Source organism: Homo sapiens, chromosome 11 (assembly GCF_000001405.40).
Source record: "Homo sapiens chromosome 11, GRCh38.p14 Primary Assembly".
Lineage (NCBI taxonomy): Eukaryota > Metazoa > Chordata > Mammalia > Primates > Hominidae > Homo > Homo sapiens.
Window position 1 is genome coordinate 124,081,491 of NC_000011.10, and position 27,892 is coordinate 124,109,382.

The window sequence follows — 27,892 nt, forward strand, 5'->3', positions numbered from 1 at the left end:
AAAGCCTGTGTTGATGAGAAGAAACATATAGTTTAAGCCGTGATAATTTGCAAGATTGCCTCTCTCACCATGGAATTAGTGTCTCGCCTTATTGGGCAGAGCACTATCAATTTCTTTTCTACATTCTCCCTTTCAATTCTGCCTCCTTATTGTACATAAAAATAAGCAATAGGCTTAAGAGTGAGTCACACACTTTTCAATTGCCTCCTACTGGATGCTTTAACATTTTGATGAAATCCTCAGGCCAGCAGTTCAGTAACAGAAGTCAGCATGCATTAGAAAAAAAACCAATATTTTATTTAAACAACATTCCTTGAATTTTCCTCTTACGAATAGAAAAAAAAAGCTGGATCAAAGATAATCTAAGATAATTCTCACCATATGAACACAAAGAGATGCAATATCATTATGATAATTGAGGTGAATTTTTCTCTATATAGCTTAGCTTTATTCCAAAAAAGGAATCCTGCCTTATGCAGAAAATCTTCTTAATTTTTATTCATGTACAGAAATTGAAAAATGTTTAATTTTGAGTAAGCTTTCTTCTAAAAAATGTTTAGATTCAGTGTTCTGACGTAAGGGAGATTATGATTTTTAGTGGATGTTTTTGCAGTGATATAGGTTCTCTTCCAAGGCTTCTTCCGTAGAAATCAGAAAAGGACCAAAAATTGTTTACTTTGCAGGCAAATCCAATGATAAATAGCAATTTAATATCTGCTATGCGCATAAGCTATATTTACTTTAAAAGCATGGGTACTAGCAAATTTTCATACTAAGATACAGGGTTTAGGAATGAAGTTAAAGACACAGTACTATTTAATGCGAAGTTTTTTTGAAAGCTGCTAAGAAAAGAATATTCAAAATTCCTTTAGAAGTTCATCATCTTCTCATTTATTTTCATGAATAAAGTTTGTTCTTTAAATATTTTATGTGAAGCTTGTTTCACACTTTCATTTCTCAGGCTAGAAATCAAGGAGTTCAAGGAGATGGTCACACACAAGTTCGGTCTCTGAATCACAGAATCGCAGAGAGCTCTCGGTCTGAGCTTCTGTCCATGGCCACAAAGAGTTGCAGACTGCAGGTTGAGCAATGCAGGTTGAGAAAGCAAAGAGGTGAGCAAGGCAGGTTGAGAAAGCTCCATGCACACTGTCTGCAGAGATAATTTTTGGTATGTCAATTTCATTGCAGATATAAGATATGGAAATAATGGAAAAGAGAGAGAAAGAGAGAGAGAGACTAAGAGAGAGACAGAGAGAGAGACCGGCATAGGGCTTAGTATATGCTTGCATAGGTCACAGTTTGACTTCAGGAATGTGATGGGAATGACAGCCATAACTTCGTTGGCACAGGATTAGGGTAGCTGCCTAATATAGCATCAGGAGATTGACATGTAGCTAGCAGCCTCTCCAGGGCCCTGTGGTGAGCAGTATATACAGTTTGTGTGTAATGGTGTGCATACCTTGCAGTGGATATCCAATGGCAATAAAAGGGTGGCACTGTGTCAGTGAATGCAAGAAGATCTCGGGGCAGTACAGGCAAGGAAAGGAGAAAACATGGACAGCAGCACCCTGAACATTGATGGCTCATTTCTGCGTTGAAGGTAAAGCAATAATTGAAGACAAACTCATGCCAATCACAATGATATTTTTCAAGGAAAAAAATACATGCATGATGTGTGAAATCCCAAGGAACAAACAAGGGTCCTGAATATAACATTTCCCAAAAGGGTACAAAATTTATAAGATATAATCAGGATAATGAAATACAATCTCCAGCCCTCAGCCATTCACAGTAACAAACTCAGACATCACTGTGTGATTTCTCATTTTAAAGAAGAATCGACACAAGATATCAATGAAAGGAATATTTTGCTTAAGGTAAAAATCTTTCTAAACAAATAGCCTTTATGTACAACAAGCAGAAAAGCCATAAAAAACTGTTGCTAATTTATAACTTGGATTGGCAGGCATTCTTTTTTTTTTATATATCTGTCTCTAAATTGAGCTTTCTAATTTCAGATAATCCTCATTAGCACCCTTCCCAGAGGAAACTCTTTGAATAGAGTCATTATTTTTTCCATATGTTTTCACCTTATAAATCTTCATAAAACCAGCAAATCACGCTCTTCCCTATTCTCCCACCCTTAGCTTCTGTCTCCCTCTACATATCATGCTGACCTCTGTGCTGATCTGATTTTATTAAAACTGCAGACTCTTTCATGAGATGAAGAAAAATGCATAGGGAGAAGACACATTTTTCCTACCTCTAAACTCACCTCATCATATAGGAGCATCAACAGATTAGAATGGCTATCATAAAAAAGATGAAATGTAACCAGTGTTAGCAAAGATGTGGAGAAGAGGGAACACTTGCATACTGCACTACTGGTGGGAATGTAAATTCATGCAGCCATTATGGGAAAAATAGAGTTACCACATGATCCTGCAATTCTACTTCTGGGTATGTATCCAACGGAACTGAAATCGGTATGTTGAAGAGATATCTGCATGCTCACATGCATTGCAGCATCATTCACAATAGCCAAGATATAGAAACAAACTAAGTATCCATCAATGGATGAATAGATAAAGAAAATGTGGTATATGTACACAATGGAATACTACTCAGCCTCAAAAAGGGGGGAAATCCTGTCCTTTGCAACAACATGGATGAACCTGAGGGACATTATGCTAAGTAAAATAAGCCAAGCACAAAAAGACAAATAGTCCTAGATCTCACTTATAAATGGAATCCAAAAAAGCCAAACTCATGAAGTAGAGCTTAGAATACTGGTTACTGGGGCTGGAGTGATGGGGCTGGGGATGGGGAAGGTGGATGGAGAAAGGAGAGGCGTTGGTTAAAGGATACAACTTTTCAGTTAGATAAGAGGAATAAATTTTCGTAATGGAGTGACATGGTGACTATAGTTAATTATAACATATGTCAAATTCACTAAAAGAGTGGATTTTAAACTTTCTTACCACAAAGAAATGGATAATTATGTGAGGTGATAAATATGTTAATTAGCTTGCTTTACTTTTCCACAGTGTCTACCTATATTGTAATATCGCATTGTATCCCAGAAGTATGTAGGATTACTATTTGTCAATTAAAAATAAAAGAAATACATTGGAAAGGATTATGGAGAAGATAAGAACACTGTCTCAGTGAGAACACATAATGACTAGGAAGTGTCTTTATTAGGATCTACAGAAAAAGAAAAGTCACTCACAAAACATCTCATCAGATTTTTATAGATATCCTGGTTTCTACTTACTTTTGCTTTAAAGGAAACAAATCTCTCCAAGTATTTGAGAATTTAAATAAATTTGATCTTCTTTTGGAGATTTTTTTTTCCTCTGTAGTCATAGTTTCTATTATGGATAGATTGATTGTTCTTATTATAAACTTTGGTGATAATAAGACTTTTAATTTTGGACTGAAACATGGTTATGATGTCTTTGTAAAATCAGTTTTAATTGGAGACCATGTTTGCTGTTGTCAGAGCTATTTAGTTGGCCTGTGTCGTAGTGTAATAGTTATGACCATTTTATATAATTCTTTCTTGTCCTTCCAAGGCTAATTTCAAGTTGCTTTGTATCTTTGAAAGCACATAGATTAATTTTCTTTAGCATCATAGTTAATCAATAAATGTTTGTTAATTGACAGTGGCTTATGAATGTATTTATTAGTAATATTTCATTACTTTATTGACTACTCATTATTGTACTAGGCATTGTACTAGGTGCTTAAGGCGTTGTACTAGTGCTTAAGATTTACAATTTCATTAAGAATCTCCTAACTTAGCTAAGAAGGAGAGGGAATTAAATTACTAAAAATTACTGCTTTAGCTCTATGAGCCAGCATTGTGATGTACTTAATAGATATTACATCATGCTGCCAATATCCACATGAGGGGAGGTGGGAGGTGTATTATTCAGAACCAAAAGGGAGGAAACTGAGGCTCAGGGAGTTCAAGTAATAGGCCAATGCCCTACAGCGAGTAAGAAGTGTTTCTGGGAATTCAACTCAGGTCTGCATTCCCCACAGTCTCTAAAGTATGCTGCTGAAGGAATTCCGTCAGTAACTCACAAGCTAGAGAGAAATGAAGGAGAAATCAACTTCTCCATCGGGATTATGGAAGAGACACCATTTGAGAGCAGTCCAGATTGAAGAGTTTAGTAGAGGTTTATCAACAATTCTTGGTCCCACAGCACAGTGTGTTTGAGAAGCCACAACTCAGTTTCATACACGGGCATGTGAACAGAAAGGCCTGCAGGATCTGGTGATAAAGATTCTTACCCGATATGCTATAATGTTTGTACTTCATCCTCCAGGCTGTGAAGAGTCACCAGTGAGCAATGTAATCAGATGGTGTTTTAAAAATATGTTATAATATGAATCAGTGTGGACAGGCAGCTGGACAGGGGCCAGTGTAGTGGCTAGGATTCCTTTTAAGAGGACATCAGGGTGTGATCAAGGTGTGAAACAAAGTGGGAGCAATTGATAGGGAGACTGGATGATAATACAAAAAAAGATTCAAAAATAGAGTAATGGAACTGAATGGATGATTGGCCGAGTGGGAGTGTGAAAAGGTAGAGGTGCGCTCTTAGTTTCTGCCTTGGGCATCTCGCATGATGTAAAGTCATTATTCTAAAGATGGAAGACAGAAGGGAAATGCTCATTTACCGCAGGCAGTACCACATCTTGAGCCTTATTAAGAGGCTCTGACAACTGATAGATTACCTTCTTTGTAGTGTGTTCAGCATAAAGCTTAGGTTGGTACGCACTTTAGAAAGTATTTGTCATGCTTTATTATACATATTAGGTTGAGGTTAGGAAGAAATTTAAACATGGTTACTGAATTCTAGTCATAAATCCATTCACTTACCTATAAGCAACTTGGATTATAGGAAGCACCATAGCAACCTGGGAATAGAATGATGTGATAACGTACGCTGAGGGAGCCTAATCAGTCACCTTTCTGCCCACTTCCTCGTCTCTGTGTACCAAATATTGATGAATAGAAATAAAGATCCAACTGGATCAAAATGTTAGTATCATTAATGATAAAACTGGATTAAGAATGCAAGGGAAAATCCTCTCTCTCTTCTTCTAAAGCCTTGGAACCAGCAGCATCTCAGATTGCCTTCTCCACTGCTGGGGGAAAAGCACGACTCTGACTTCAGCCAGCTTGTTGCCAGGCAACCCAGGGAGAGCTGCGGGAATCAGCCAGCAGGATGCCCTGCTTGGCTCTCTTCAGAACACAGTGTACATTGATTTAATATCAAGGACACACTTCACTCTCAGCCAAAAATGCATTGTCTAATCTATTTCTCATCACAAATTGTCTAGTCATAGCATTCGATATAGCCCAAAAGAAAAAACTGTAAAACAAACATTCACAAGTGTTAAAATATGCCAAATAATATAATGCCAACAAAATTAAGCCACACACAAATATAAATTCTAAATATGAATTTTTGTATTAAATTTTCAGAAAGAAATTAAAATACAAATATGAAATATCCTTTTGTTGTATATTAAAGTCCAAAGAATTACAAGTCCAACATTTCTCCCTCCACAATTTTATATTCATGTTACTCTAAGGCTGAGTGCCTTATTTGAGGCCACAGGTCCTTCTTCCGTGGCTAACCTCTGGGCTTTCTCTTGATGAAATAGGGTGGGCCTCCTTTTAGTACTTCCAAACTTGAATGCTCCAACTCAAAGGCTGTTTGTTAGTTTCCGCTTTCCCAAGTGGAAATATATGAATTTCACAATACCAACCTAGTATCTAAAATAGTAAAAAACAATAAAAAAAATTCCTAGCCATGTAGTAACATTTCAAGCAAAATAATATTCCCAGGACCCAGTACATGGTATAATTTCAACCAACTGCTACTGCGAAAATTATATGAGAGAACTAGTGGTCTGGAAGTTAGGAGTGTAACTTCTAGAGACAATATGAGAGAAAGGAGAAAAATCTTGATGTCATCCTGTCCGGATACTAGTCAGTCTGTGCAGGTTGCCTGGAACCCATAAACAGTGAGTCTGGATTTAGAATTCAACTGCCAGTAATATCTTATTGAGAGATACATATGGTATAAGCCTGCCATATCCTGGGAAATAATTTACCTATAGATACTTCTTTCTCTCTTTGGTAAATAAATGTCAGGTATTCCTGTTTTTATGAAATATTTAGAAATTTACAGCGGTGACATCATAGTCTCCAAGTTTTACTGAAGGCTCCATTCTTCCTTTGATGTAAGTTTCTTAAAGGTAGGGCCCGTGTTCATTTTATTCACCTCTGTGCTCGAAGATCCTAACTATTGTACAGAGTATGTCAACAAATAAGTGCTGAATAATAACATGCAATTCAGTATATGCTTAACCTATTAATTTCCAGTCCTTTTGAGCCTTGTGTTTCTGACACACCAATTATAAAGGAAGTACAGTTATTCTAACTCATAATCAGGGGACCCTATATTCATAACTCTGCAAGCCATGTTTATGGTTTTGTATTCTCTCCAGACAAAATCTCTTTCATTCTACAGAGGTGATTTGCTCTACGCTCGGTTGTATCACACCCTCTTCAGTGCCCATCTCCCACAAATGTCCAAAAACTGTTTCGGGGTCTGCCATTTAACTTATTGCCCACTTAAGTGAGTTTTAGACCAGGTTATTTCATATCATGTGCTGAAGGTGATAATTTACAGAAAACCTTGAAAGTTTAGTAAGATTTTAATGGACAAAGAAATAACGTTTTAAAAGTGTTCTGGGCTGGGCGCGGTGGCTCCCGCCTGTAATCCCAGCACTTTGGAAGACCGAGGCGGGCAGATCACGAGGTCAGGAGATCGAGACCATCCTGGCCAACATGGTGAAACCCCGTCTCTACTAAAAACACAAAAAACTTAGCCGGGCATGGTGGCGGGCGCCTGTAGTCCCAGCTGCTCGGGAGGCTGAGGGAGGAGAATGGCGTGAACCCGGGAGGCGGAGCTTGCAGTGAGCCGAGATTGCGCCACTGCACTCCAGCCTGGGCGACAGAGCGAGACTCCATCTCAAAACAAAACAAAACAACAAAAAAAAGTGTTCTATTCCCAGTGCACTTGACTTAGGCCTTTTGACTAGTATAGAGTGCAAGGCAATTATGTTTTGTAGAAACTGAAATTTTTAAACACCTTTGGATGATGTAAAGGTATAGATTGAAATAAAGTCCTGATTGAGATGGACGTTGGAATTCTTGATGTGATTTCCCAAGAACTCTGGGAAACGGATTCATTTTCTAATTCTGCAGCACCTAATTCAGAAATGTTTTCATAGCAAATGCTGTAGACTGCAGAGACCGAAAGCAGTGGTTTAGGACTTCGTCACGGTGTGAGTTTACTGTGCACTCTATAATCATATTGTGTACTTGTATAATGCTGAGATTGATGAGGTATAACTGCTCCTGGCTGAGGTATTTGGCAACACATACATACAGGAATGGTCAAGCCTTATATTCTAATATACAGTCTGAGGGGAGTGAATGATGTTTCCAGAGACTCTAATGTAAACTTATTCATTCCTATATTCTCATGAACAGCCCTGTGTTCAATGGTGAGATTTGGGTCCAGGGAACTTGCATCTCCTGTCTTGAAAAATGTTGGTGATCTCTCTATAATATATTCTGATCGTGTCTCTTCTTAAAACAAATAAATCCTGTTATTTGCTTGACTGCCGTTATTGCCTAGTATTTAATATTTAATATTTACAACTGGCAGGTACCAAGCAAGTGAAAGAGGACTTGTTTTTATCTGTTGGCTGATTTACAAAGGTTCCTAACCCCCCTCCCTCCCAGGCTTCCCATATGCCATTTCTTCCTCTGTCTATGCTTCCATTTTTCCAATGATGTAAGAGATTCTACTGTTATGAGACAGCCATATGGAATCACAGAATTAGTATTTCAGAGTTGGAAGGTAACTTAAAAGTCATCTAGTTTAGTGGAAGGATCTCCCTTTAATATTTTTTACATCTCCTTTCTTAAAAAGGGATATTCCTCCTCCGATGAGAGATAATATCCTAGTATAATCATCTTATCCCATGATTCCAGCTGACAGAGCAGAAAGATTGATATCACAATTAGTTACAGTGTCATTTGATATAAATAGAGGGAGAGATAAAGATCTTCTTTATAGTAGAAAACCAATGACCTAATGTGGTAAGAATAATTAATTTGGAAAGTTATTATTTGGCAATTATAATAATAATTCAGACAAGAATAATCTATGGATGCTAAAACTGGCAGATAAAATTGAGAAGTAATAGGATATGTACATAATTGCAAAGTTTCCATCCCTCCAAAAAATCATTATTAATTAGGAAGGTAAAATAATCACTTTATGGTTGAGTAGTCTGACAGACACTACCTTAACCAAATGATAAAAATTAACCTCACTAGTAATGGAACAAATTCACAGCAAGTACCTCCTGATATAATATACTAGAAAGAACACAGCATCATTTTGGAGTTGGTTCTGTCAAAAACACATTACCTGAATCTAATCAGGAGAAAACATTAGACAAACTCAAACTGATGTATGTTGTACAAAGTACCCATCTTAAAATATTCAAAAACAATAATGTCCTGGAATACAAAGGACTCAGGAACTATTCCAGTTTTTTAAAAAAAGATAAATAACATTATGCAATATATAATCCTGGACATTTTGTGCTATAAAAACATTATTAGAATAATTGGGAAAAGCTAAAGAATACCTGTAGATTAGATGATAGTATTGTATCCATATTCATTTCCTGGTTTTGATAACTATATTATAGTTATATAAGGGGACACCCTTTGTTTTAGGAAATAAACTTTAAGTAAGATATGGGGAAAAGGACCACATGATTGCAACTCGTTCAGAATAAAGTGTACACACACACACACACACACACACACAATATTGGGGGAAGGATTAGAGAGAGAATGAGAGAGAGAAGGGATAAAACAAATACAATATGCTGATAACATTGGGAATGTGAGTAACAAATATACATGGACTTTATGTTACCTTTTCAACTTTTCTGTAAGTCTGAAATTGTTTAAATCTTTAAAAGTCAATTTGATGAAACTTCTAGGAATGCTTTAACAGAACAGAAAAACTAGAAATTATTTCTTTTGTGTTAAATTTTTTATTTTTAAAATCTGTCAATGTTTTATATTAGAATAAATAAATATTCTGATTCAACAGATACATTCTTACAATAAAATATTTATTTTTATTTAGTATATTTATTGCTGTTACGACTTGTGCAAAGATTAATTAAACTTATGTTGCATCAAGGTTATCCATACATTTCTCACTTGGCATTATAAGTTTGTGAAGTAAAATGAGAACTGAACTGAAAATCGGAAGACCTGGATTCTACTTTTGGTTCTTCCATTAACTAAAGAAATTTCTGAATCCAGGTGCTTAGCCTGTAAACCTGAGCCGTGGATGAAAAGTGAAGCAACTGGGAGAGAAGAGCTGGAATGACATTTTAATACACATTAGAGGAAACTGTCAGGGAAAAATTCAAAGAGATTTTCTAAACCATTGTAACTTTACAAGTGATTATTATTTTTCAGTATTGCCATCTGTTTCTTTGTAGTGACAAGTGGCAACATGCTTAAAACAGAAGTGTGTATGTGTGTATGTGTGCATGTTAAAAGACAGAAGAGTGGAGGTTGTGAAACATATGGCTGTTTCAGCACTTGCCTGCCAAAAAGAGAAGGCCAGGAAAGAAAACATGGATATTGAAGACAGGAGTGACTGTTATGTGTCTTGGTTAACAGAACATTTAAAATTACAACAACCTTGCTGTAATGGATAGTTATTACCTGTTTCAATGTCTATATTAGAGAGATAAAGGGAAATAAAGCCATTATTTATATTTTATATTTTAACATTCGACATGTTTAATATTACAATCCAACTATTACTTATCTGGAAGGAACTTCAGTGTTACAAAGACTTCTTGAAATTGAACAAATAAGTCTATTTTATTTCTAGATAGAGTAACTAGATTATAAATAAAATAAGTCTATTTTATTTCTAGATAGAGTAGCTGACTACCTGATTGCTTGTGAGGTACACTTACGGTTATCTCATCTTAGAGGTTCTTGTATAGCACATCACAAATCACCTGTCACCAATGTGCCTTCACTGGGGCTCATTTAACATATTTTAATAGCTCATGCAGGCTCAGTGTGATGGCTTATAGTTTCCACTTGGAGAACTGATGTTCAATCACCTGTGTTGATAGGAATTGAAGGTAAGAGAAGGAAGGTAATAATCATTCCATTATGAAGTACTATTTTAGCTCTAAATATAGCTTTCTTTCTATTTACTTTTCTTTCTTTCTTTCTTTCTGTCTCTCTCTCTCCCTCTCTTCTTTCCTTCCTTCCTCCTTCCATCTTTCTTTTTGTCTGTCCTTTGCTTCTTTACAAAAAGGACTTCATGTAGCTTAAAAGAAAAGGCAGACAACTTGGAAGTAAAATATAAGAAGAAACAGAAAACAAAATCAGGAAAAGAGAAACAAGAATACATTCATTATAAAATGTAACATTATTTCCATAAGCCAGATTTACCTACTTTTTCCCCAGCATTATGGAACACAGAGATTAGAAGAAAAATAAATCGATTGTATTATGAGAAAAAAAGAAATGTACTCTTTCTCAGGTGGACAGATTTATTATTGTTACCTGAATTTCAATGAAAATTCTAACATGGGCTTTCTATGACAGACACAGAAATACATCTACATTCCTTTTTTAATTAAATTAAATTAAGTTTTTTTTTTTGAGAAAAAAGTACACATAACCTTCCAGGAATTTAATAATACAAGGAAAATATATATATTCCAAAGGAATCTGTATGCTAGAAAAATCTTGAAATCACACAAGACTGAATACTAGAAGGATTACTTTAAACAGTACTTAAGTTACTTTGAGTTTTAATATTGATTGGCAGAAAATTAAAGATTATAATCTGCAGTAAGTAGGATTTTCTGATTTCTCTCCTTTCCTTCTCTCCTTCCTTTATATATATATATATGTATACATACATACATATATGTATACATATATATATACACACACATATGTAAATGCACTTTTAACCGGGACTATGATAGGAGAAAGCAAATGTGTTCTCTTAACTCTTTCAAAGGTTTAAAGAACAAAGAAATGTTTGGGGCGAAGGAGTGTGTCAGTGGTGTTAACAGAATCCTTACTACAAAAGAATTGAGCCCATGGAGGTTACAGTGAGCTATTATTGCACCACTGCAATCCAGACTGGGTTACAGAGCAAGACCCTGTCAAAAAAGAAAAAGAAAGAAAGAAAAGAAAGAAAGGAAAGAAAGAGAGAAAGAAAGAAAGAAAAGAAAGAGAAAGAAAGAGAAGAAAGAAAGAAAGAAAGAAAGAAAGAAAGAAAGAAAGAAAGAAAGAAAGAGAAAGAAAGAGAAAGAAAGAAAGGAAGGAAGGAAGGAAGGAAGGAAGGAAGGAAGGAAGGAAGGAAGGAAGGAAGGAAGGAAGGAAGGTGCAATGTCTGCTAAATTACTCTATTAGTTACATTTAATTCTAGGTCGGGATTAGTGGCTCATGCCTGTAATCCGAGCACTTTGGAAGGCCGAGGCGGGCAGATCACTTGAGGCCAGGAGTTTGAGACCAGCTCGGCCAACATGGTGAAACCCCGGCCCTACTAAAAATACAAAAATTAGCCAGGTGTGATCCCAGCCACTCAGGAGGCTGAGGCAGGAGAATCGCTTGAGCCCGGGAGGAGGAGGTTGCAGTGAGCCAAGATCACGCAACTGCACTCCAGCCTGGAGTGCAGCAATTACACATTATTTCTTATTCCTATCTTTAAGCCCTCCAAAAGTCAAAAAAAATTAATTCTAAAGTATAGGGAAATACACCAACAGACAGATATTTTAAAAGAGCGAGGTTAAGTAGTAGATTGATTTGGAGTACATTTCGTTTCAACTTGCCTTGGCAGCAGCAGATGGGAAATTTTCTCAGGGAGTGGAGAGTCAAACTTCAAAATGTAATCAAAATCTTAAATCCAGCAAAGCTTTAAATGTTCTCATTTATTTCCCAGAGCAAAGCTTTTCTTGGGAAATACATTCCTCAGGGCTGATCTGATTTTACATCCTTATTCCTAAGGCTATAGATTAGTGGATTCAACATTGGGGTTACCAGATTATTCAATATCTGAATTATGGAACCAAGCAAGGCACTGGGATTGGGTTGTAGATAGATAACGATGACTGGCCCATAAGCACAAAGGATTGCAGTGAGGTGAGCGCTGCAGGTGGAGAAGGCCCGCTGCCTGCCCTCTGCTGAGCGGATTTTTGATATGGAAATCCCAATGCAAGTATAGGAAACAAGGATGAGAAAAAAGCAAATGAGAGACAAAAGACCAACATTTGTAAAACCTACCCTCTGGGCTAAGGATGTGTCCTTACAGGCTAGAGGTAACACTGCAGGAATATCACAGAAGTAATAGCCCACCTTGTTAGGGCCACAGTAAGGTAACTGGAAGGTGAGGGGAGTTAGGATCATGGCATGGACACAGCCAATCATCCAGGTCCCCGTGGCCAACATAAAGCACACCCTGTGGTTCATGATGACCGTGTATCTCAAAGGAAAACATATGGCAACAAAGCGGTCACAGGCCATCACTGTGTAGAGGAAACACTCAGTACAGCCTAGGAAATGGTAGAAGAAAAGCTGGGACACGCAGCCTGCATACGAGATAGCATGGCTGTTCCCCGAAAGGTAGAACAACATCTTGGGAACAGTCGTTGAAGAGAAACCCAGGTCAAAGATGGAGAGGTTTCCCAAGAAAAAATACATAGGAGTGTGAAGTCGAGTGGAGGAGATGATAGCTGTAAGGATAAGCACGTTTCCCAAGAGGGTGCATAAATAAAATGAGGAGAACAGGAATAAAAGGGCTGTCTCTAGGCCCTCTGTCTCAGGGATTCCCAGAAGGATGAATTCAGTCACCATTGTGTGATTTCTCATTCCTGGGGAGGAATCAACTCTTGGGTGTCCGTGAAAAGAAATAAGTGGTTAAATTTAATATGCATGTAAATTACCTGTGTTTAGATGAATGAAATGGAAAAGAAGAAAGAGATCTAGATAGTTACAGAGGAATGCTTCCTGGTAGAATCATCTTGATCTGCCTGCTTTGCTCTGTACTGGATTCTGCAGTGGTTTCTTTTCTTGTTTGTAACTTTTCATTTTTACAGATTTAAGAGGCACAAGTGCATTTTTGTTACATGGATATATTTTGTTACATGGATATATTGCCAAGTACTGAAGCCTGGGTTTATAGCATACTCATCACCCAAATGGTGTACATCGCACCCAATAAGTAATTTTTCTTCCCTCACCACCCCCTCCCACCCAAATCGACTTTTAGAGTTATTCTACTCTGTACGCCCACGTGTGCTCATTGTTTAGCTCCCACTTATAAGTTAGAAGACTGCAGTGCAGGTTCTAATTGCAGATGCCTCTCATTTAATAATTTTACCAAGAAGCCTTGCACGACTAGTCTTGTAGCTGCCATTCTTCATATTTACCATTAAATAGCATAAATTATATATGCTCTAAAAGGACAAATGTAAATACTTAATGTCTTTATAACAAGGTCTCATCCAAATTTCTTATATTCATCTAATACAATTTGGTTATGGTAACTCTCCAAAAGTTATTTATAATTCTGTAAGACATATACAAAACATAAAATATCTTTCCCTCATTGTCTCCCTGGCCATGAGGATCAACAGTGAGACATTATTCAAAAGAAGGATCTCAGATAGCTCTTAATGAACAGAAAATTACAATAACAAGTTCCTTATCCTCTGCAGTCACCTGAATTCAGTGCACATGAGTAACCAGTAGACTTCATTTCTGTCTCCAAAGTCTGTAATTGTCTAACCAGACCCAAGTTAAGCCACATCCTAATTTTGTGGCAGCAGAAGGTACAGGGGTAGCAGTAGTAAAGACTCCTTTCCAAGTTTCACACTTTAAAAAAATCTAATATATTTTTCTACTTGTTTTAATTTTTTTCAGCAGTGAGATCTATAAATTATAGATCAACCCATATATTCTATTACCTAAGATGATTCCCTTTCTCTCTCTCTCTCTCTCTGTCTCTCTCATTTTTCCTGTAGATTGTGAAGGGAGGAAGGCAGTGAAAGCCAAGATAAAAAGTGAAGGGCAAAATGTGTGCACTTACATGGCAAACAGAGAACATAATTGGCTGTTACTTGTGAATGTTGTCTTCCTTTCCTTCCCCAGCAGAAGGAAGGTTTGTGCCTAAATCCCCATCAGCCTAGAGTCTACAAGTAGATGACTTGAATTCTTTTTTTTTTCAATCACTTTCAAATAGAATGCCACAAATCTAAATATGCACAGCTGCCTTACAGTAATTTCCTGTCTAACTCTAGGAACTGCAATCATTCCTCAATACAGGACATTTTAAATAACCTTGGTCTTCCCTGGGGTATTAATCCCTCAACTCAAGGAACTTTTTAAGCAAGGGAGCAATTAACTACTTGGTATAATTACACCTTAGAAATGAATGAGAGAAGAGAAGAGAGAGAGGGAGAGAGCGAGAAAGAGAGAGAGAGCCTGATTATTATCATTTCCTTTGTAAAATATACCTCTGTGGAAGAATATTTTTAAACATTCCTTTGACATATATATCACACATATTTATTGTGTATTTTTATATTTACTGCTTTTCATATGTATATACTATTTTTTAATAAATAAATTATACCTTATTTTGCTACATAGTATTGACAGAATTGACTATTGCAAGCAACAGTAACTGGGGTAGCTTAGAGAACTAAAGAAACTAATGGAAAACTAGGCCCAGGAACGGTGGAAAGTAGGGCAGCTGGAGGGAACTTAGCTGTTAGAATTCATGGAGCAACCTCAGGGCACCGCCATCAGCCAGTTCTACCTCAGCTGCCTTTGCTTCTGTGTGCCTCACCCCAAGATTCGAATCTGACTTCCTTGGCTGAGTCACATGCCTATCTCTGTGAGCAGGGTATAGATTATGGTGGGATGGAGATGGGCAGTTCTCCAGCGGGGAGTGAAAGGGGCTATTGCCAGAAGAAAGATGGAAGAAATATGCTGGGAGTTCAAAATTAATGTTAAGCGATCACTTGTAGTATCTGTCCTTATACTACTTGACATCTATTAAAGCTTCTGAGTTAAATACTTTCAATACTCAATACATATTAGGGGTTGAGGTGGAATACAAACTTCCTCATTGAATACATTCTTTCATTTGTTTATTTATATATACATTTACTTTAACAAATGTTGAGTGCCAGTCATCTGTCAGCATTGATTATTTGCCAGGAGAGAGAAAGGTTGAGGGTAGGTGAGGTGGCTTAGACATTGTCTCTCTGCTCAAAAAACGTATAATCTATCTGGAAGAAAAATATATTTTACAGTTTTACTTAAACCTCAAAACTCTGGTGAAGTCCTCTACAGATGAGGCAAGTAAGGGTCAAAGAAGTTAAATCACTTTCTTAACTTGGAGGGAGTTTAGATTTGGTGTCTTCTTTAGGATTTTGGCCATAAAGTTTCAGTGTTTAAGGAATGTTTAGGTAGTTGCACTATTCCAAATACATCTGGAATTTTTATATGAAAAGAAAACTGTTTTGCTGCACATCTAGCAAATGACAAGAGTAGAAAATTCAATAATTCTGCCATTCTATTTATCTTTGATTATCTTTAATGTTTTGAAACATGACTAACTTGAAAAAATAGTTTGTACCAAAAAAAAAAGAGGAAATAAACTTTTAACTAGCAAGTAACAGCTCATGAAATTTACCTGGTCTAGTAAAAAATGTATTCAGGGAAGTCAAATGCCATGGACTATTTTAGATCTCCAAATAGAATGTTTTAGAATAAAAATAGCACGTGCTAAATTAATGGGATGGTCACAGTAAAAACACTCATGTTCTGCGTTCCCAAAGGTCAAATGTTCTCAGTGACAATACCTGTTACAGAAGAAATAGTGATCAGATCACAGCAGGAAAGACTTCAATAAAGTAACTAAAATGTTTTCTGGTCGGTCGCGGTGGCTCACACCTGTAATCCTAGCACTTTGGGAGGCCAAGGAGGGTGGATTACCTGAGGTCAGGAGTTCAAGACCAGCCTGGCCAACATGGTGAAACCCCATCTCTACTAAAAATACAAAAATTAGCTGGGCGTAATGGCGCACGCCTGTAATCCCAGCTACATGGGAAGCTGGGGCAGGAGAATCGCTTGCACCCTGGAGGTGGAGGTTGCAGTGAGCAGAGATGGCGCCATTGCCCTCCAGCCTGGGCAACAAGAGCGAAACTCTGTCTAAAAAAAAAAGTTTTCTTATTACTGCTTACAGTTCAATTATCATAAGCAACAAAAGTGTCATTGCAAGTTGTATTTTGTCTGCATTTTAAAGCAAAGATTCAATGTTTGATCAATTTTCGTGTTAAATGTAGATTCTATATGTGTCTTGAACATGTTAAATATTTATATTTAATAAAATTTAGCTTTATTTTAATTGACAAATAAAACTGGTATATACTTACAGTGTACAACATGATGGTTTGAAATATGTATACATTGTGGAATGGCTGAATCAAGCTAATTAACGTGTATTACCTCACATACTTTTTTTGTGGTAAGAACACTTAAAATCTATTCACTTAGCAACTTTTAAGTATACATTATTAACTATAATCACCATGCTGTACATTAGATATCTTGAACTTATTCCTTTGGTTTAACTGAAATTTTGTATCTTTCACCAACATCTGCCCCATCCCACCTGATAACTACTATATCATTCTACTCTTCTGTTTCTAAGAATTTCACTTTTTTAGTCTCCACATACAAGTGAGATCATGTGGTATTTGTCTTTCTGTACCTGGCTTATTTCACTTCACATAATATCCTTCAGTGTCATCTACACTGTCACAAATGACAGGATTTCCTTCTTCTTAAAGGCTGAATCGGCCAGGCACAGTGGCTCACACCTGTAATCCCAGCACTTTGGGAGACAAAGGTGGGTGGATCACGAGGTCAGGAGATCGAGACCATCCTGGCCAACACGGTGAAACCCTGTCTCTACTAAAAATACAAAAATTAGCCGGGCATGGTGGCATGTGCCTGTAGTCCCAGCTACTCAGGAGGCTAGGGAAGGAGAATTGCTTGAACCCGGGAGAAGGAGGTTGCAGTGAGCCAAGATCACGCCACTGCACACCAGCCTGGGTGACAGAGTGAGACTCCATCTCAGGAAAAAAAAAGAAAAGAAAAGAAAAAAGAAAAAAAAAGGCTGAATCATATTCCATTATGTAGATATACCACAATTTCTGTATTTATTCATCCACTCATGGGCACTTAGAGATTGAAAGATTGGCTATTGTGAATAGTGCTGCAATGAACATGAGCAAGCAGATATCCCTTCAATATACTGATTGCAAAGAAATACAAATTTTTAAATTTTCGTTTCATTTAACTTTACACAGCAAAACCATGTACTCAGGATTTCAATTTTCTTCAACAGATGAAGGTTACATTAGGAAAGTTATGTAAAAAAAAATTATCCAGTAGGAAATTTAATTTTTTAGAAACTAATATTCATTCACAAAACCTTGCAATGCATACAGCACTGTGCACAATAGTAAAAGTCATATAGACAACTAAATGATGACATGGTGTACTTGACCTAGGCTCTCAATATGGGACAGAGAAAGGGTAAAGATTACAGAGAACTAGTGGGGGACACCATCATTCTTCCCTTCTCTCCTGGCTTCAGCTTTCCCACTGTGACAGGTGGAATAAATCAGGTAGCTCTTGGGCCGCAGGTCCTGCTGTCTCCAATTCAGCCTAGAAAGAAGAGTCTCCACTTAGGCTTGGATTAAGCCACATTTTCCACTCATTTTCCCAGAGAACTTTATGACTGGGAATATTGAGATCTTGCTGATCTTTTCATTCTCCATTTGCTGGTGATTTCGATTTTCATTCTTTGTGAGTGAGAGCCTAGAAGTTAAGTAGAAGTTTGAGACCCCAAACTCATGTATAGTCATTCTGGTAAGAAATAGGATCAATACTGTAGAAGAAAAGTATTAAAACTGCTAGCAAACACTAGAGGTAGACAATAATAAATTTATAGGGTTGCTGACCTGCTTGGTTTGTGATTTTTCTCTAAAAGAGCATAACAAGGTGGGTGTGTGAATGGAACAAGCAGGTGAGCTCACTGAAGACTGGGCAGGAAGACATGATGGAGGGAAGGATTTTAGTAATTTAGAACTAATTATAATAATGTTTAAGAAATCTGAAGCAGATAAGAAGCTAAGAAAAGGCTACAAGAGGAGAAAAGTTTACATGAACAAATCAGAGATTTTATTGAGGTCATTTTAGCCTTTATTAAGTCAAAAATTTATTACAGCTACCAACATACACAAAAACAGCCATGTTCTGGTGAACAGGAACTAGCCAAAGTCTCTGTCCTCAATGAGCTTACAGTCTAGTAGAAGAAGAGAGGCATTGGTCAAATAATCCTACATATATAAATGATAATTATTTAAGGCGGTAAGGGCTAGGAAGAAGTGCTGTGGATTGAAAAGCTATCGTGGTAGAGTATTTGTATCCTACTCATGTTCCTCTTTCATATCAGTAAATTAAATATGTATCCACATCATGATTTATATGGCTAGCTGATGTTCCCTGAAGGTAGAAGGGGACTTCCCTGAGAAACTGTTATCCCAGCTGAGATCTGAAAGTGAAAACCTTTCTAGGCGGGGGTAATAGCATGCGCAAAGCCTTCATTGGAAAGATGTAAAGTATATTTGAAGAACTTGAGGAAAGAGAGGAAAAAAATTGAGATAAAACTTGAGAGGCAGAAAAGCAAATGATGACTAAAGGCTCTGCTCTTTAAAGATTGCGATCTCTACATTAGGGGGCTTAAGAAAATGTAAGACAGTTTTAAGCAGCATTGAGTTTCGGCACATTGTGGAAGAGAGAATGTGAAAGATAATTCTAGCTACAGTCAGGAGAGCAGTTGTAGGGCGCAAGAGCACCTTCAGGGAGACAAATAAGGAAGATCACTGGGCTATAGAATTTTGAGATATTTGGTCAGGAAAAAAAGAGGAAAGATAATCACTAGGGCAGAGAAATGCTGCGGGGAATGTGTGTGGGTTAAGGCCCTGCTTTAGCCTCGTGTGACAATGTCAGAACAAAGCTTCATTTTCTGCCTTACGTTTCTATACCTGAATGTGCACTACAAACCATGTTTTAACTCTAATTATCAGGTAAAGCCCCACACGGTATCTTCTGGGAATACCCAGAGGATTAGAACCAACAGAGGATAGTAACAAGATAAGAATGAGCATAATCGTACCCCACTCTGTGGGATTCGAATATTTTATTACAAATGAGTTTTCTCTCAGATGAGCTTTCACGCATCTGAGAGATTGAAAGGAAAAAAAGAAGTTGGGGTAAGTTTTTTTTTGAGGGGGGTGTGGAAGGCCAAATGTTTATTTCTAAAGTTTCATCAAATTTGCTGTATTGTGCATAGCTGCATGAAGATCTGAGACAGATTCCCATCTACATCCACAAACTAATTGTGTGGCTTAAAGAAAATTACCTAACATCCCTAAATCTCATTTCATCTTCTGTAAAATGATCTCATAGAACTCATAGGTAAATTACATTAGATAATATATAAAAAGCAATTACGCAGTGCCTGGTGAGGAATAAGGACTCAATGAATGGTAACTTATTACTCTAGGCAGATCTTCTGAAAAGCTACCTTAGACTACACTTCTCAAACTCTTTCTCTGCCCACACCAAATGGAGGTATAAAAAATAAAGAAATAGTGATTTGAGAGGGTTCAACTACAGTAGACGTAGTTACAGGAAAAAGGAGATAACTAATAAGCCACAGAATGTGCGAAAACTGCATAAGCAAACTTTAAAAAAAATGTAGGCCAGGTGTGGTGGCTCACATCTGTAAGCCCAGTACTTTGAAAGGCCAATATGAGAGGATCACTTTAGCCCAGGAGTTTGAGACCAGCCTGGGGGCAACATAATGAGATCTCATCTCTAAAAGAAATTTCAAAAATTGTCTGGATGTGGGGTGCACACCTATAGTCCCAGATGCTCTGGAGGCTGAGGTGGGAGGATCTCTTGAGTGGGGAGGTCCAGGCTATAGTGAACCATGATTGCACCACTGCACTCCAGCCTCGGTAACAGAGCAAGATTCTGTCTCAGAAAAAGAAAATTGTGGTAAAATACACAAAGCATAAAATTTAACATCTTAACCATTTTGAAATATATAGTACAGTAGTGCTAAGTTTATTTACATTGTTGCTTGACTATCTACATTGTTGCTCAACTAATCTCCTGGACTTTTTCATCTTGCAGAACTGAAACTCTATTACCATTAAACAACTTCTCCATTTCCTTCCAACATCTGTGGCTCCTGGGAACCAGCATTCTAATTTCTTTTTCCATGAATGTGACTACCCTAGGTACCTCATGTTACTGGATTTAAACAGTCTTTTTGTGACTGGCTTATTTCACTTAGCATAATGTCCTTGAGGCTTATCCATGTTGTGGCATGTGTCAGAACTTCCTTTCTTTTTAAGTCTGGATAATGTTTTGTTGTGTGTATATACCACATTTAGTGTATCCATTCATTGAATGAATACTGGGTTGCTTTCGACTCTTGCCTATTGTGATTAATGCTGCTAGGAACGTGGGTGTACAAATGTATCTTCAAGACCCTGCTTTTATTTCTTTTGTATGTATAGCAAGAGCTGGAATTGCTGGATCATATGGTAATTCTGTTTTTACTTTTTTAAGAAAATACAATACTGTTTTCCATATCATCTGCACCATTTTACATTCTCGTCATTAGTGTACAAGGGTTCCAATTTATCACATCATAGCCCAAGCTTATTACTATTGTAATTTTTAAAATAGTAGCCATCCTTATTGAAGTGATATGTCATTGTGGTTTTAATTTGCATTTCCTCAATGCTCAGTGATATTGAACATCTTTCCATATACTTATTTGCCATTTGTGTCTCTTCTTTGGATAAATGTCTATTTAAGTCCCTTACCCATTTTTCAATCAGGTTATTTGCTTTTGTTGCTGTTGTTGTTAATGAGGTAAGATTTTAAAAAGTGAATATGTGTGTCTGTGTGTGTTTATGTATGTGTGCACATGTGTTTTAAATAAAATCTCATGTTGTGTGCTTTTAGATATAGGAAAGATTTAAATGGTTAAAGTTTCTCTTTTCAGTGCCAGTCATTGCAAGACTAATTTAGAAAAAGCCAAAAAGTTGGTCATTCAGATTTTGTTTTTTATATATCATCAGTTTTACCTAAACATGAATATATATTTAAATTCAGACATAATATTATTCTGTATCTTAATTATTTCGCACACGTTCCTCTGTATCGATAAATATACAATTGCATCACAATTTGAATGGGTAAAGAGCTATCCATTCATTCATTCAGCAAACCTACACTGGAAGCTTACTATGTCACTGGGCTATGTCCTATGGATACAATGGTGAGCAAGACACACATAATCCCTACTTTTATGAAACTTTCCATTGTCTAGAAAAGAAATCTGTTATAGAAGTATCAGTGTGTTGAACATCTGTCCCTAAACACTATTCAGGCTTTACCAGATATCATGACATGTAGATTCTTCTACAAATACCCTGCACTAGTAGAACAGCAAACTAACACTAGGGTTATTTGAATCCAGCATATCATCTCTGATAGGCATCTCCAAAGTGTGGGAATAAGATGCTATGACATCTTGGATTTTTGCCAATCAAGTTAGGAGGAGCCATAGAATCCTCCTATTGCAATAAAACCGTTTAACTATGCTTGAAGGAGCTTCATTTTATCCTTTTTGCTTCATGCTATTTGTAAAGTAAGCATTTTTATTAGAGATTTTTACTTGTTTTTGTTTACTGGTTTCAAATACGAAGGGAACTTTGGGGACTATAAATGGAATAGAAAAACTACAAATAACTAAAATGTCATGGAAACTAGGAGCTGGCGTGTCTGTGGGATCCCCAATTAATAGTACCATTTCTTTCACTTTAGATTCTGAGAAAGTCGAGAAACAGTTATCAACTCCAGTCTTGTTGGAAGTTAAGTTACAAAAAGTAACTTGCTGGGAGAATCAAATGAGCATGCCAATTAAGCCCCATAATTAGACCATCTTGTCTTCAACAACACTGGATGGAAAGACTTTCCCCCTGCGTTTACACTAAAGAGTATTTTGACATATTGGCAGTGTGATGCAGTAGGAAAACCATGACACAGTAGGACTTAAGAGGGCTTGTGTCTAGGGCTGGCTTTAGCATAACTGAATGTAGTACACAAGGAAGACACTTATTGCTGTATCTCAGTTCCACCATCTGCAGGTGGGAATATTGGGTAGTAGAATAGAGTAAGTGGAGATAATAATAAAGTCAATACAGTTGTCCTTCAGTATCCTCAGAGCATTGGTTTTAGGACCCTCATAAATACCACGATCCAAGTATACTCATGTCCCTTATTTAAAATGGTGTAGTGTTTGCATATAACCTATGCACATCCTCCTGTATACTTTAAATCATCTCTAGATTACTTATAATACTTAATACAATGCCTACCACCATTTCATGCACATGAATTCAATGTAGTACTCAAGCGAGGCAAATTCAAATTTTGCTTTTTGGAACTTTGTAAAATTTACTTTCTGAATATTTTTGATCCACAATGGTTGAATTCACAAAGGCAGAACCCATGAATATTGAGGGATGACTGTATATAGACATAACCTATGTCAGTACTTATTTTACCAGTTATTTATCAGACAACTTCTTTGTATCATGAGCTCTGGAGAGAGGTAATTAGGATGAGTAAATTGCAGGATGAGTAAAAAGAGGTCACTTAGGGTAGCTATGTGGTACAGGAATCTATAGCAGGGAGGTGATTTGGAGTTAACAGGAGCTGAGTTTGAGGTCTGATTTGCTGCTTAATGTGTAACCTTGGGTTCATTATTTGAAATATTTAATCCTCAAAACTCTTTTCTACATTATGTAAAATCTACTTTATAGGGGTGATGTGAAGATTTAATAAGATGATGTACGTGAAATGCTCATCACAATGCCCAGAAGACAGATCATGCTCTATGAATGTTAGTTAATATTCTTCTTCACAAGGTGGAAGAACTGAAATTCTTATAGGCAGAAAAGGGGAACAATTATATTTTAATTGGAGCAAAAAGTAAGGTAAAATTGAATGTTGATTTGGACAGAGAGGAACTATTGAAGGGTGCTTCTTGGACTGCTACAGATCCTCTTTATCCTCAACCAGGAAATATTGGCTACCTATTACAGGGACAAAAAATCTATCTCCAAGTGCTTGCTATGCCCTTTGGATTCCTTATCCAGAACTAAGAGACAAAGAATAATGTTAATTATGACATTTATTCCCAATAATAACTCATAATTTATTCACAAACAGTAAGTAAAACATTTCAGAATACTCTTTTCAGGGACCTTTTCACTTCCTTGTTCCTTAAGGAATAGATTAACGAGTTCAGCATGGGTGAGACAACATTATTTAATATTTGCACCTGGCACCAAGCAAGGGGTTGGGTGTGGACTTCAGATAGATGATGATTACAGGTCCATAGGCACAGAGGATTGCAACAAGGTGAGCACTGCAGGTGGAGAAGGCTTTCTGCCTGCCCTCTGATGAGCGGATTCTCAAGATGGCAATCCCAATGCTAGTGTAGCAGACACAGACACTGATCAAAAGTGTTAAAGCCAGAAAGCCAACATTTATGGAACCCACCCTCTGGGCCAGGGCACTGTCAGTACAAGCCAGGGGTAAAACAGCAGGAATGTCACAGAAGAAGTAGTCCACCTGATTGGGGCCACAGTAGGACAACTGAAAGGTAAAGGAGGTCAGAATGGTGGCGTGAAGACAACCCACCAACCCGGCACCACGACCAAGCCGACACAGACTCCAGGCTTCATGATGAGCATATATCTCAGTGTGTGATGTATGGCAACAAAGCGATCATAAGACATCACAGAATAGAGGCAGCCTTCAGCAGAACCCAGCAACTGATAGAAGAAGAGCTGTGAAGCACATCCCTTAAAAGAAATGACTGGGCTCTGGCCAGAGAGATACAATAGCATCTTGGGACATGTTACAGATGGGAACAATATGTCAAAAGTAGACAGGCGTCCCAAGAAGAAATACATAGGAGTGTGAAGAAACAATCGCTATAAGGATGAGTAAATTTCCAAGTAGGGTGAAGAGGTAGATGAATGAGAAGACAGCACAGAGTACAGCCTCCAGTCCCTCTGTCTGAGGTATTCCCCGTAGAATGAATTCATTCAGCAATGTGTGATTCCTCATGTTCATGGAAGGGTAGTCTGGGTTTTCACAAAATGTGTGAAAATATGAATGTGGAGGCTAATTGGGATAAACACAATACCAATACATTCATTGGCACCAATTTTTGTTTAAACATTAAGTTGATGTTGAAATTAAGAATTAGAAATTATTCCAAAGACATTTAGGAATTAGTAAAGCATGCATAGGCCTTCATATCTTCAGATATATTCCTTCATGAATATAGACACAAAACAAAATGAAACATTAATATGGTGAAATGTTGGATGGGCTAAGAAAACAGAGAACATAATTAATGTCCACAACAAATTATACAGTAATGAATGCCCTAAAAAGACCAACTGATAAGTCAGATCCTCCTGATTCCTCTTCAGAATATTTCTACAGTTACTCAAAGATGTGATCAGATGCCCTAATTATTCACCAAAAGTCAATTTGGTCATTGACATGTCTAATAAGAATGATGGATTGAGATACAATGCAATGAGCTTTAAGATTTGGGTTGTGTTAATATCATTCTAATTATAGATAAACTTTTTATTTTTGGCATGTTCTTATTTGGAAATATTCATTTGTCTGAAAAGAAACTAACAGTGACTGATTTGGTTATTATTCTGAGGTTTTAAATTGCTTAGAGATTAGCAGCTGAGATATATTATTATATCCTAGTTTTAGGTTTTAGTGAAGTCACATCATATATAAAGATGCAGATATGAAATATTTAATCTTTGCTAATGATTGGATTTTTTGAATCCTTAAAATAATGAAATTAAATATTTCAATTCAGAAGCTTTTTGTGTGTTTTTATCTTTAAAATTTTTTTTTATTATTTTGTTGTGTAAGAGCGCTTAACATGAGAAGTACTCTGTTACCAGATTTTCAGTATAGAATACAATATTATTATTAACAATATGGGGACAATACTGTACAGCAGATCTCTAGACTCATCTTGCATTACTAAAACTTTAGAGCCATTGATTAGTAACTCGGTCTCCCTGTCTTCCCTGCCCACCCATGACAACCATCATTTTGCGCACAGCTTCTATGAATTTGACTGTTTTATTTTAAGGGAAAGAGGTAACTGTATAGGCTGAGAACATGTAACTGCCGCTGGGATATGACAGTGCTTGAATACAAAGGCTCTTGTGAATCATCCAAGAAGGATGTTTTCATTTTCAGTTTTTACTTTTTTGATATATATATTTTTGATATTCCCAAATATCAAAACAAATAATTGCCCTTATCTCTACTTACAATTCCTGGTCAATTTCTCTGATCCTCTTTATAAGTAATAGTTATTGATTGATAATTTTAGCCTCTAAAAATATGGAAGTGGTAAGATAGATGAATATCATCCATATATACACAGGAAGTACTGAAGGAATTGAGTTCAGGTTCTGTTAGACTTCCAGATCCCTGAGAGTAGTACCTATAATTTGTCATTGAATCTGCAGCACGTGTCACAGTGCTTCTGAATAGCTGGAATTTAAATATTTGTTAGAGGAATGAATGAATGAAAAGTTGGAAATTAATTTATGGATATTATCTGACTGTGAGTTCTATGAAGAGACCATGTTTATTCTTGCTCATCATTGTATCACTAGGATTTAAGAAGTAGCAGCACCCAACAAGTGTGTTTATTTCGATCAAATTTTTGGATGCTCTAGAATTATTCCTTTGGTCCTTCGACTATTTTAAGTCTTTTTTCTTAACCCCTGCAAAAAAATGGTTATAGTCAGCCTACTTTTGGCTTCAGATACATGCCTAGTAAAAGGAATTTAGATATTCATTGAAATGTAGAGTATCTAATTGCTGAACTAGGAGAGATAGGATGAGGCTTGAATATCTTTGAAATTGCTGTAACTCATAAGTACCTCTTGCTGGAGGAGAGTTAAGGAAGGCAAATGGACCTTTCTGAAGAGAGGGAAAAGAACAAAATTATGATTAGTGGAAAGTTCTGTCACAGCAACAACTAAAGAATGTGAAAAGGAGTTATTGTAAACAATATCTTAAATAGGACAAAATTATTCACACAACCTTAGGTACCAGCTTTAGATCCTATGTCTTAGATCATGTGATAATCAAATCTGGAAAAGTGTTATCACAACATATTAATGAAATTGATGCAATCTATTATTGTCTTAAGGCATCAAGTCTATAGAGATTCTGTTTATTGTATTGGGTTCTTTGAATTTTGGGGTCCTTTGGGGTTTCTTGTTGGGGGAAAGCTAGTATTCTTCATTCCCCTCCACTACCCCACCTCCTTACCCCAGGATCCTTTTGTCTTCTTCCTCTGGGGGATCATCTGGATCTGAAATCAGTTTGTATGTGTGCCTTAGTTGTTGAAGAACAAGTGCATGGCCACTGGGTGGCCTCCATGATCTGGATTAGTCATCTCTTCACATAGGTATCTTGGGAGGTTTCTGAACAATTTCAGTTAGGCTCAATGAACAGAGGACAAATAGAGTTAACTGCTATGTAGTTATTTTAATGCATTCCTAGAAAAAGACGTTTAATAACTCAGCACAGAAAAGTGGAGTGTAATTTGTGACTTTTAAACTAAGAAAATCTAGGGGATAAATGGAAAAACTAGTTTGATGTTGGAAATCAAGATCAAGTCAATGGGAAAATATTGCCAAAATGTGGGATGTTCTTATAGTTGTGCTTGGTATATAGTGAGTATCCACTAATGTTTGTTTTTGATTAACTGAGATAATACTTACCTCACAGAATTGTGTAAGGATTACATATGATGATATTCCTGATATAACCTTGAAAAAGATAGAGAATTCTATTGTTCTCTGCTTGGATGAGAGGAGCCAATAAGGCAATGTTGATAAGGAAAGACAAGATTTTAAGCCAGGCAGATTTTGTTTTACATCTAGGCTCTTGCTTACTAATTCTGTGACTCTGCTATGACTTCCATTTGCTTATCTCCAAAATAAGGATAGTATTACATTCTAAGGGTTGTTTGGCAGACTGAATGGGATAATGTAATATAAGGCATCTAATAGGGTGTCTGATATATTTCAGATGCCCAGCAACTTTTACTTAGTCCTTTACTCTGACAAGGGTAAAAATATTCTTGTAATGTATTGACTTAATATCAGCATGAGTACAGCTAATGCTAAGTAACTCACAGTTTGGGGAAGTGTTTAGAAAATACCCCTGAGCACTGATGGAGGTCTCCTCTGAATTATATTGAGGTGCAAAAATAATATATGTGATAGAGGAGATTGGAAACCATGGCTTAAGTGCCTCCTGCATCCTCCACACCCCACAAGAAAGAACCCCTCCCAATCGTTCAAAAATGAATTATGCTAATACATGGTATCAGTGATAGACAAAGTGAAATGTGAGTTACTCAGCTGTTGACTCGAAAGCAGTACAATATAAACATGACTTTCTGTAAGATAA

General features: G+C 36.8%; 1 long non-coding RNA gene and 2 pseudogenes across 1 annotated transcript, besides 1 other annotated feature; all 3 read right to left on the bottom strand.

Moving 5' to 3' along the window:
• Nucleotides 1-866: 866 nt before the first annotated feature.
• Nucleotides 867-5,306, bottom strand: LOC105369545 (uncharacterized). The gene is made up of 2 exons (XR_948127.3): nt 4,892-5,306; nt 867-1,150 (listed from the first exon to the last, which is right to left on the bottom strand). It is a non-coding gene; the product is annotated as an uncharacterized LOC105369545 (long non-coding RNA).
• On the bottom strand, nt 11,946-13,242 carry OR10D4P (olfactory receptor family 10 subfamily D member 4 pseudogene; annotated as a pseudogene).
• OR10N1P (olfactory receptor family 10 subfamily N member 1 pseudogene) lies at nt 23,562-24,484 on the bottom strand (annotated as a pseudogene).
• Nucleotides 26,632-26,926: a silencer, noted in NCBI's record as "tiled region #9541; HepG2 Repressive non-DNase unmatched - State 13:Ctcf". NCBI's record gives its function as "represses a minimal TATA promoter and a strong SV40 promoter by Sharpr-MPRA in HepG2 cells {active_cell/tissue: HepG2}" and the evidence as "EXISTENCE:reporter gene assay evidence [ECO:0000049][PMID:27701403]".